At 48.3% G+C, this 10881-nt stretch overlaps 1 protein-coding gene across 11 annotated transcripts in view, besides 5 other annotated features; it reads left to right on the forward strand.

Annotated features, from left to right (window-relative positions):
- The window catches only part of SRGAP2 (SLIT-ROBO Rho GTPase activating protein 2), a 260896-nt gene extending 256016 nt beyond the window's left edge, over positions 1 to 4880 (forward strand). For 8 of the 11 annotated variants that reach the window (XM_011509354.3, NM_015326.5, XM_011509355.3 and 5 more), the window contains one exon: positions 1481 to 4880. In XM_011509354.3, the coding sequence (XP_011507656.1) occupies positions 1481 to 1864 (384 nt within the window). In that variant the 3' untranslated portion in view covers positions 1865 to 4880. Of the gene's footprint in view, positions 1 to 28; positions 124 to 1480 lie in introns of those variants that run through there. The other 3 variants (XM_047416530.1, XM_047416531.1, NM_001377444.1) reach the window with 2 other exon arrangements.
- Positions 6459 to 6678: an enhancer, noted in NCBI's record as "active region_2398". NCBI's record gives its function as "activates an Ori minimal core promoter by ATAC-STARR-seq in GM12878 lymphoblastoid cells {active_cell/tissue: GM12878}" and the evidence as "EXISTENCE:reporter gene assay evidence [ECO:0000049][PMID:35858748]".
- Positions 7430 to 8291: an enhancer, noted in NCBI's record as "H3K4me1 hESC enhancer chr1:206640325-206641190 (GRCh37/hg19 assembly coordinates)". NCBI's record gives its function as "activates a minimal SCP1, AML or CMV promoter by ChIP-STARR-seq in primed H9 embryonic stem cells {active_cell/tissue: H9 hESC(primed)}" and the evidence as "EXISTENCE:reporter gene assay evidence [ECO:0000049][PMID:30033119]".
- Positions 8292 to 9155: an enhancer, noted in NCBI's record as "H3K4me1 hESC enhancer chr1:206641191-206642054 (GRCh37/hg19 assembly coordinates)". NCBI's record gives its function as "activates a minimal SCP1, AML or CMV promoter by ChIP-STARR-seq in primed H9 embryonic stem cells {active_cell/tissue: H9 hESC(primed)}" and the evidence as "EXISTENCE:reporter gene assay evidence [ECO:0000049][PMID:30033119]".
- Positions 9830 to 10467: an enhancer, noted in NCBI's record as "H3K27ac-H3K4me1 hESC enhancer chr1:206642729-206643366 (GRCh37/hg19 assembly coordinates)". NCBI's record gives its function as "activates a minimal SCP1, AML or CMV promoter by ChIP-STARR-seq in primed H9 embryonic stem cells {active_cell/tissue: H9 hESC(primed)}" and the evidence as "EXISTENCE:reporter gene assay evidence [ECO:0000049][PMID:30033119]".
- Positions 9987 to 10296: an enhancer, noted in NCBI's record as "active region_2399". NCBI's record gives its function as "activates an Ori minimal core promoter by ATAC-STARR-seq in GM12878 lymphoblastoid cells {active_cell/tissue: GM12878}" and the evidence as "EXISTENCE:reporter gene assay evidence [ECO:0000049][PMID:35858748]".

Here is a 10881-nt window from a genome sequence, read left to right on the forward strand (position 1 = left end):
TGACTCTCTGTTTTCCATGAAATATTAGAGATCCAACCCCACCTCTAAAAATCCGACTACCGGGGCCACTCCAAGCAGTTCACTCAGACGTCTCTCCCAACTATATAATTTTCATTAGACCAGGTAGGAACTAAGGGCTTATTGTTGCCTTCTTATCTCAACTGAGTTGAGATTCTCCTTACCCCATCTTCCAGGGGGTGATAGAGGCTGGGCATGGTCTCTCTTGGCTTAATTGTGGTTCTCTGCTTACGGAGATGTACCTGGCAAGCCCAGTATTGAGCTACAGGCCTGAGATGTCTTGCTTTGCTAGCCTTCTATTCTGTGCCTCTATTTAAGCTCTTGGCTGCAATCTGCCTTGCGCTACGGGAATCCTCCCAGCTCCCTCCTTGGCCAGGTGTTAATAGGAATGTCAGGAAAGGTAGACAGCTGGGACAGACTAGCTGTAGAGTGCGACTGAGGAGGGAGATGGAGTTCTTCCTGAGCATTTTAAAGGTTTGAGAATGTCATAGGGATGAGTGAAACTGAATCACTGTGAACAGAAAGCATGCATCGGTCTGTACGACAAAGAAACCTTAACCAAAGGCCTTCGCTTGGAATGTGTAAAATCTTTCCATGTGAACCTAATCCCAAGAAGAAATCCTGTGGTAGTTTGGGGGTGCCAGACACAGGTTTATGGGGAGGGAGCGGGGAGCTGGGAAGTCTCACTGGAAGGCAGCTGGCTTGCATACAAAGGTTCTTTGGTTCTGCCTTGAGTCCCTGGGCTAGGACTGCTGTTGGCTAAAGATCTAGAGTGTTCCATTGATTTGCAGGCAATTGATTCACCTATGTGGGCTTTGGCTCCCCTTCCTGGTCATTCTTTTGTCCCCTTGGTGGTGATGGCTGGAAGGAAATGGTTTCAAATTGGACACTGCCCTGAGTTGGGGAGGAGGGGCGGGGGGAGGCGTATTGGGCTCCTGAAACTTTCCTCAGCCCCTGAGGAGGAAGGACTAACCCTCTTCACCTTTGGCCTTGAAGTCCAAGAGAATAAAGATCATACATCATCTCTACCACTTTTTAAAAAAGTGTTTATTATGTACAATTTCAAACCTACCCAAAAGCAGACAGAACTGGATAACAAATCCCCATGTACTCATCACCAAACTCCTGGCCATTCTTACTTTGTCCGTGTTTCTCTTCCCCACTAGATTATATGTCACTTCGTCGATAAGTATTTCAATATCTATCTCTAAAACCTAGGGTCTCTAAAAAAATATCAATTACTTTTTCTAAAGGAAAAAAAAAAATCTCATGACAGTGAAAATCCCTCCGTCCCCCTTTCCCTACTTCCTGAGCATTCATATGTTCAAAGATTTAGGCCAAGTACAATAATCTGGACATCTTACGGTCATTTTCTTCATGCCTTGGCCTGTGTTGTTGAAACCGGCTCCTTGGGGAATTCTCCCCTCATTTGCCTCACCTCCTCCTTTTTCCTGTTTTGCAGGATATTGAGGCAACAATGAACTCGGCCCTGAATGAGCTACGGGAACTAGAACGGCAGAGCAGTGTCAAACACACCCCTGACGTGGTTCTGGACACCTTGGAGCCCCTCAAAACCTCCCCAGTGGTGGCCCCCACGTCAGAGCCCTCCAGCCCTCTGCACACCCAGCTCCTCAAGGACCCCGAGCCCGCCTTCCAGCGCAGCGCCAGTACTGCTGGGGACATCGCCTGCGCCTTCCGGCCTGTCAAGTCTGTCAAGATGGCTGCCCCGGTCAAACCACCAGCCACACGGCCCAAGCCCACTGTCTTCCCCAAAACAAATGCCACTAGCCCTGGTGTCAACTCATCAACTTCCCCACAGTCTACTGACAAGTCTTGTACTGTCTGAGGGATAATAATTTAATTGTTCTAGACAAGGGGACTATAGGGACTGACTGTTATTAAAATCTTCCTATTTAACTAGCTTGGGGACTTCAGTTGAAAATTAGGTTCTAAGTTGTTCTTGCAGGAATTAGCCTCCCCGTCTCCCAAAACCTTGAGAATGAAGCCCTTGGTATCGCCTCTCCCTTCCCACTGCCCTCTGCTTCCCCCAGTCGTCGTAATTCAGCCAGCTGCAGTCCGTACCGTTCTTAGGTTAGCCAGAGACAGGTTTTCATTATCAGGTCACTGTGAAATCTGGTAAGGCAGTCCTGAGGACATGGGCTCAAGTCTCAGTCCCCTCAGACCACGGTGATGCCTTGACCAGATGGTTGGCTACTGCCATCCAGCTTTCAGTGGCATCTTGTTTTGGGAACTGATTATAGAGAATCATATATAGTCCAGTCTTCATTTTACATACACACACATATTTTACACACACACACATTTTACACACACACACACACACACACACACACATATGTTTTTCTAGTCTCTGGCATGTGTAGCCTCTCCTGGTCATAGACCAGTCTCTTTGTAAGTTATTGTGGCAGTTCACACAGTAGCCACCAGGGGTCTCTGTTTCCATCACAAACTTTGTTCTGTCTGGGCCAGAGAACCTAGCCTTTGAAATCTCTCCATCATATGAAACATAACGGGATGGGACAATCCCGTAACCTGTTTGGGGTTGGGGGCTTTCTCTCTGTGTTCTTTCCATTGATGTGAATTGGTCATTGGTGTTTGCTCTTGCCTCTCCTCCATCCCCTAGAAGTACACCCCCGTCTTATTAAGGAGCTTTTAAAGTTTTTCTGAATGTATAGACATTTCTCGGGTTCCTACCTTTGTCTCTGATGGACCATTTTCCATTTAAGACATTTTCCTGTATAAGACAGTTTTATAGCTGGTTCCTTTTAGGGTAAAGAGTCTTAAGAGAGTTTTATTGTGTCTATGGCAGGTTTGGGAAAGGTAAGAAATGGGTCCTTTTTCCTCCTAATGTTTTTGGCACTTAAAACATAAAATTCATTATCCTATTAAAAAATTAAATTCAGCTTTGCTAATCCAGAAATTGTTCCCAAATGAAAACTTGTTTTAAGTCCACCCCTTAGTTTCCTTATTTTACAAGGTCTCTCTTCAGGGACCAACAGGGGCTTAGAGAGCCTTAGTTAGATTAAAGGGAGACCCTACCTCTTAAAACCAGTTTTCATTTATGCAAACAAGGACAATTAAGGGAACCCTGACCCCACAGGCTCTCAAGTCTTCCCAAGGCCAGAATCGAAAGAAAATTAAAATTTGAATGCTGAATATTCTGGCTCTACTCTGGCCTTTTTTCTGGTTCCCTTCCAAAATGCACAAATCATACCCTTGTCTGCTCCAATTCAGTCTCCAAACCTGGTGCCTGTGCTCCTGGCCCCCCTAGCATCATGCTATCCCAGGAGTATCAGGACCAGACACATCCACAGCCAGGCTCATGGGTCTCAGACAGCAACTTGAGTTAAAGCTGAAACTCATCCTTCTTCTCTGTGTTTTCTGGTTTAAAAGCTGCACTTATATTTTAGCCTTATTATTTTCTGTAGTTCCGGAGAGATGGTGGGTTGCCATTCTGGTAGGAAAATCTGAGTTTTCTTATCTTTGACCTAGAAGAGATTCTTTTTGGACCAACCTGCGAAATTGGTAGTTAGGTCTATGGAAAGTGGTAGGATTTTTTTTTTTTTAATCCTGTGCAAAGGAAAAGAGGTGCTTTGTGGGAAATCACTAATGAGAAGGCTAACCTGCAGCACCAGAGAAACCTTTCCAAGTGCTAGGCAGGAGAACTGAAGAACTCTTTCAGTGAAGTGAGTCAGCCTAGAAGAGGCAACCCACAGTCTTGATTTTTGTTGCTGTTTCCTGACCTGTTCTTGCCTGTCACCTGGGCCTACACAGGTCCCAAGCCAACGGGGCTTTCATACCCAAGGATCTGTTTCCTTGCTGAAAATGAAACCCTATCTTTCACTTTACATTCCTTTCAATCCAACTGATCAAAACTGGTACCCACACTTGCCCTTTCTCCCTCTCTCCAGCACACTCCCCTCTAAGAAAGTAAAAGCAAAGCTTTCTTAATGGCAACACTTTGGGCCTGTTCTGTTGCTCCTGCCTTATTTCTCTTTCAACCCTGTACATGACTCGTGTTCACCATCCCCTTGATCAGTGTCCATCCGCGCTAATTTGCATCATGAACTGAACAGTGTGTGAGTGGTCACCTACTAAACCCAGCTCTGGGGGCAGAGCTGTCTTCCCCATCTCTGGTGCTCCTAACACCTGTGAGATGGTCCTGTCGAGAGGACTAGGAACCGATAGGAGGAGAGTCCTTCTCGGCAGAGCTCACTGCAAACAACTGGAATTGAGGTTGCACACTGTGATTTTTACACCGAAAAGCCAAAAGGAGCTGGCCATCCAGGGCCTAGGGAGACCAGCCTTCCTCAGCTATGCTTGCCGAAACCAGCATGATGCTTCAAAGAGCCCTGCTCCACCCCTCATGGCATGGATCCTTTTCCTGGTGTGGACTCTGAAGGGTCAGTCTTCGGGGAAGAGAGGTGGGGTGGGGCTACTAGCATCCCAATTTAGAAAATAGAGGAGTTTGTAGCCAGCAGCCTGTAAACTGGAAACACTGGTCTCAGCCAACCTCCTCAGGGCGCCCTGGCTTCTCCCCAAGGAGATGAGGAGCGGTGATGCCAGCACCGGGATGCGCAGAGCACTGGAAGGGCTGGTGCAGATCTACTTCCCATGCAGAAGAGAAGTCACATCTTCCAGGGAATCGCAATGTTGTGGCGTCTGACTTGTATGTCACATTTGTGTAAAATGGTATATTCTTTAAAATAGTGTTGATAACTGGAATATTGTATGTATGCTTGGAGATGCTTTGTGTGAACCTAAGACTGTCACTCAACAGATGTTGGATTGGGGAAAATCCAAAGCACAACTTCAAAATAAAATACATTTTTAGGTTTCGATGCTGCAGTTCATATCCCTTCTCTCCTCTCTGAAATCTCTGATTCAGGACTCCAGCTGCCCAGGAGGGATTTTGATTCGTCTGTGCTAACAGAGCCCTGCCTGGCAACAGAGAGAGCAACGAGATGACCTTACAGCCAGCCACCTTCTCCCTCCCCACCAAGGCACAGCACACTTGCATTTAGAATGGGAGGTTTTTCCCCCAGCATTTCCATTTAGCCTGTGTGTGGATTCTCATAGGTTTTGTAGAGAGTCTTCCCGCTCACCATTGGACTGCCTGTTGCCATGAGAACCGTTTCCTTCACAGAATCCACCTTCCTTGTTTTCAATAAGGACTGTTCTCATTTCTATCTCTAGTCAGATTTCCTCACTTCAGGGAGTGGGGCCTAAGAAGTTGCTTAGAAACTTGGCAAGCTACAACCAAGGGTGACTAGAGATTCTCTTTCTTCCACAACCAAAGCCCTGAGTCATTCTGCCCTTGACAGCCCTCTGCCTCTGGGAGAAAAGCTGACCAATATGCTTGTGCTGTTGGTGGGAGTGGGGGATACAGGTGATGTTTTCTCTCCTACAGATTGTGAGTCTAGCAGAGCTTAAGTTCAAGGGTGAAGTTATTTCAAGGTAACAACTTCAAACAAATCCTAGAGCCCCTAGGGCCAACACTTATTTTTAACAGGCTTGTTCTAATAAAAGATGCCCCTGGGGATGGATCACATCTCTCCAAGTGGGTACCCTATGTTCAGTGGTAATGCAAGGAATCCTACCCCCAGCTCTAGACAGAACACTTTACAACCCCTTCTTAGGTTTATCATCCCTATCCGTTATTCATATATCTTCTATTCAGCTCTGCTATGCCCTTCCAGCCTACTGTCTCTTCCCTTCCCCTGTTTTCATGGAACAGCTACATCTTGAGCTTCTCTTGCTGGGCCCTTGGCCTTGGGTAAGTCAAGGCCAAGGCTGCTGTGCCACTCTGTGGTAGGAATGAGTTCTCCCTGACTGCAGGGAGAATGGGGATGGCCAGGAGCACCCCATAATAGCTGCGACATGGAGCCAGTTTGTAGGCTGTGAGCAGGGGACCAAAGAGCCCCTTTTCAGAGGGTCCTGAGGCAAAGGCAGGCTATGCTTTTTAGGTCCTCTTTATCCATATATGGTTCTTTTTATCTCATATGTCCTGATGGGGGCTGGATGGAAACTAGTGGCAATGAACACTGTCAAAACACAAGTCCATTCCTTCCAGATAGAAACCAAAAATGGAGACCAGATGTATGTGAATTTAGGAAACAGTCTTTTAAGACTATCTAACCTAAATGTTTATATCAAACTTGTCCAACCCACAGCCCAGGATGGCTTTGAATGTGGCCCAACACAAATTCATAAACTTTCTTAAAATATTGAGTTTTTTTGCAATTTTTTTTTAGTTCATCAGCTATCATTAGTGTTAGTGTATTTTATGTGTGGCCCAAGACAATTCTTCCAATGTGGCCCAGAGAAGCCAAAAGATTGGAATCCCCTGATTTATATTCATAGGTATATGACGTTTCCTTTTACTCAGGAGTTAGCAACCTTGGCATATTATATATACTAAAGACAGTCATTTAGTCAATCAACATTAAGCTTCTCTCTGTACAAGCACTGTCATATGGTACTGAACAGAAAAAAAAAAAGAGCTAATGGAGCTTTCTAATGAGGAAGGACAGATAAAGAAGCAAAATGAGTATTACCCTGAAAATGAAACTAATAAGATAGGAGTTGTTCAGGAAATGAAGTATTCTGCTTGATCTGGCAAGGCTGATATGACTGGTAGACATCTAAGTGGAAATATCAGGTAGACCCTTGGATGTATGAATTTGGAGTTCTGGGGGTAGATAATACCTGAAAACGTATTAGGAGCTATTACATTATAGATGTATTCAAACAGAGATTCCCAGGAAGAGCGTGGAGATGGAAAAAAGAGAAGGTCCCGATCATTAGAAATGCAGCAGAGGGGGAGGGCGCAGTGGCTCACACCTATAATCCAGCACTTTGGGAGTCCAAGGCGGTGGATCACCTGAGGTCGAGAATTCGGTACCAGCCTGACCAACATGGAGAAACCCCGCCTCTACTAAAAATACAAAAAAAAAAAAAAGTATCTGGGCGTGGTGGCACATGCATGTAATCCCAGCTACTCAGGAGGTTGAGGCAGGAGAATCGCTTGAACTCGGGAGGTGGAGGTTGCAGTGAGCCAAGATCACGCCATTGCCCCCCAGCCTGGGCAACAAGAGTGAAACTGTCTCAAAAAAAAGAAAGAAAAGAAAAAAAAAAAGAAATGCATCAGAGGAAGGGGGCCAGCAAAGAAGGCAGAATGAGCAAGTGGCAATGAGGTAGATGGCTGGGAAAGCACAGGGTCACAGACAGCAGGAGAGGACAATGCTTCAACAAAGCAGGGAATCTGCTGTTGAATGCCAATGGGGTAAGGTGAGGGTGGCATAGAAAGGGAATCATTGGACAAGAGCATTTTCAGCAGAGGGGGAATGAGTCCAACTGGAGTGGGTTAGGTGGCAAATGGGAAGGGAAGAGGCAGTAACTTGACAACTCGTTGAATGGGGAGCATCGAGAGACAAGGGTAAGATGGGCAGTGCAGAGGTGCATTTGTTGGTGGGGTGGGCAGGATGCAGTAGAACGGGAAGAATGTGCAGGAGAGGAGAGGGTGAGCTGCAGGGTACAAGCGGGAGGGTTGGCCATGGCCACTAGAAGAGGCTCAAGAAGAGGCACTTCCTGCTGTCGCGTGGGAGGGAAGGCAGGTGAGTACAGACACAGGGCAGGCAGTGGATGTGGGGGAGGAAATGAGGGGGTTCCCTTCTGATTGCTTCTTTTATCTAAGCGAAGTTTAAGGCAAGGTCCTTAGCTGACAGTGTAGGAGGGAACAGTGCAGAGGAGGTTTGAAGAGTGAAGACAATGAGAGAAACACTTGCTTTTCCTCGAAGAGAGACGACGCTGGCACCGGCGCCGATTTCCTTCAGTGGCCTGGATGCTGCCTCACAGCTTGTCCCACTGCTTGGGGCCATAGCAGCAAGATTGGCTGCAGTGTTTGTCCCTCCTTCTGCACCCAAAGCTCCTAGCCAGAGCTGACCCCTGAAGGTGACAAAGAGCTGGGCTCTGAGACCTCGTCCCTCAGCCCTTTGCCCTTGTGACTGAGCACAGCAAAAACGTATGGCCTGGCAATGCCCCCCAGCCTCTTCCATATGCACCCCAACCAGCACCCGAGTCCTTTCCCCTCCCCTTTAAGGCACTGGGCCGGCGAGTCAGTTGTGAAAAACTGGCTCAGGCCCCTTAGAGGTGGAAAAAGAAATTAATATCTTTTCAGAGCAGACCAGGTGCCAGGAGCTTCATCTCATTTTACTTTCAAACCAGCCCTATGAGAAACGTCGAGTGACGTGCTAGGGTCATCCACAGTAGGTGGTAAAATCTGAACTCAAACCTCCATGGCAATGGAGCTAGCCCCTGCCCTTCTTACTATACTTTCAGCCTCTTTGTAGAAGTCACATGAGATTTTCTTTCTGACAGCTGCTGTCAAGGGCCGCCCTCTTCCACCTCTGGTCCTTGCACTACCCTTGGATTGCCACTTCTATTTCTAGGACTCCTCAGAGCCACTTGGGAACACGTGGTGGGGACTCTTACAGACTTCCTCTTCCCTTCTGGAGCCCGCCAGCCCCCTGCACCTTCTCGGATGCAACCGGCTGTGCTGCCCGGCTGGGGCACAGGCAAGACATTGCTTCACTGTGTCCACACAGAGGATGTGACCTCACAGAGGATGCGCAAGGAAACTTGATCTGTCACGGCACATGGCTCCAGGCCACCTCTACCTCTCTCCCTTTTCACAGCCTCAGTCCGGCTCTTCTCATGCTTCTGTGCCTCTGCACATGTGCCCACAGCCTGGAATTCCATTCCCCCAGCCCCCTCTCCTCTGCCCAACTCCCCTTTTCCTAAAGTCTGGCCAAGCAACCCTTCTGGAAAGCCCTTCTTGATCACCTTCCTCCCCGCTGCGCGTCTGCCACTCATAGCATCTGCCATGCCATCCTGGACCTCCAGGCTCCTGATGGGATGCCCACCTTTACATCCTGAGCACACAGTGCCTGCCTCATAGCAGGTGCTAGACACATGGTAGTTTCCTTTGAATGTGCTAAATATGCTGGGAAAGAGATTGACGGAGAGAGGAAAGTAAGAGTGCTGGTGAGGACCCAGCAGGTTCATCAGGGAAAAAAGTGGGTAAACATTACGGATTGTCTAAGTTATGTAGCAAACCTCGGTGCCCTAAAGCAACAAAGGCTGATTTCTCACCAAAGCCAATGTCCCTTGTGGACCAGCAGGGGAACTCTGCTCAGGACAGTCACTCAAGGACCCAGACTAACAGAATCACACTGCCAGAAAGCAGAGTTCTGGGAGGGTCTTGCATCAGGAAATAAATGCTTTGGTGGGGAACTCACATGCTCCCCCTATCACAAAGTAACTAGGATGTGCAGTTCTCCCATGTGCCAGGCAGGCAGAAACCTGGGAAGACTAGGCTGGGTGCAGTGGCTCACGCCTGTAATCCCGGCACTTTGGGAGACTGAGGCAGGTGGATCAGGAGGTTGGGAGATCTAGACCAACCTGCTCAATCCACCTCACCAACCACACAGTGAAACCCCATCTCTACTAAAAATACAAAAAATTAGCCACTGGCTCACGCCTGTAATCCCGGCACTTTGGGAGGCTGAGGCAGGTGGATCAGGAGGTTGGGAGATCAAGTCCAACCTGTTCAATCCACCTCACCAACCACACAGTGAAACCCCATCTCTACTAAAAATACAAAAAGTTAGCCGGGCATGGTGGTGCATGCCTGTAGTCCCAGATACTTGGGAGGCTGAGGCAGAAGAATCACTTGAACCCAGGAGGTGGAGGTTGCAGTGAGCTAACATCATGCCACTGCACTCCAGCCTGGGTGACAGAGTGAGACTCCATCTCAAAAAAAAAAAGCAAGCTGGGAAGACTGGGTGGAACATGAGGATCTCAGGCACTCAGGCACATTCCTCCTGGTCCTGATGTGAGAAGTTGCAGCAACTCCTCCAGCTGGAGGTGTTATGGGGAGTTCTCTTTATCTGAGCACTAGGCAGTTCTCAGCTCTGCTCCTGTTCTAGTGTCACTGTGGGAGGGGTGGGGCTGGCGGAGGAAACCACCAGGTGTGGCCATGGGAAAGTCCCTCCAACATTCTATAGAAACATGGAATTTCCTGGTTTTAACCATTTCATATCCAACTGCCATCTCTGAGCTGACCAGAGCAGGACAGACCCCTCCAGCCTCCTAGGACATTTGATGTGGGGCATCGAGTCCTGGCTGGGAAGTTGGCACCTGGGTGCCAGCCCCAGCAGTCTCTGAAGAGCATGGGTAAATTACTGAAGTGTGTGGGCCTCCATGCCTTCAATGCCTTTCTGTAAAATGCTTTCCAAGCTCCCAAACAATTCCAAATATATCCATGTCATCCAATCAACCCACAGAGTAGCTGTTACTCTGCGGGTGAGTGAGCTGGCTGGGAGGGGCTGCATGCTGTGTGCTCAGGTCACACTGGAAGGCATCAGCTGGGTCCCCGCGCTTGCTCTCGGACCTCTGCAGGCCTCCTGGGAAGGTGACTCAGATCCAACTTCTAGGACTGGATCGGCATAGCTCCCACACTTCCTTGGGGTTCCTGGGTGTGGGAGCATGGACTTCCCAGGCAGCTTTCCACTTAGTTAACTTGCCCAACCTGCTCTGTTGACTCTGGGAAGAGCCCTGAACTTCCCTGCTCCAGTGAACTGTGGGAGATGCCAAAACAGCACCCAGCTGCCCATCAAGATTACCAGAAGGGCCCCAGTTCCTGGCTTCTCTGTGGCTCACACTCTGGTCCTATTGCCTACCCTTGGGAACTCAGAGCATCCTCTTTCTCTTTTCTGCTGAGCTGGTGGCTGCACCGAGTTGCCTCTGTCTCTTTAAGAGAGAAAGAGAGAGCGAGAGACG

The sequence above is a fragment of the Homo sapiens genome, chromosome 1 (genome assembly GCF_000001405.40).
Source record: "Homo sapiens chromosome 1, GRCh38.p14 Primary Assembly".
In the NCBI taxonomy this organism is placed as follows: Eukaryota; Metazoa; Chordata; class Mammalia; order Primates; family Hominidae; genus Homo; species Homo sapiens.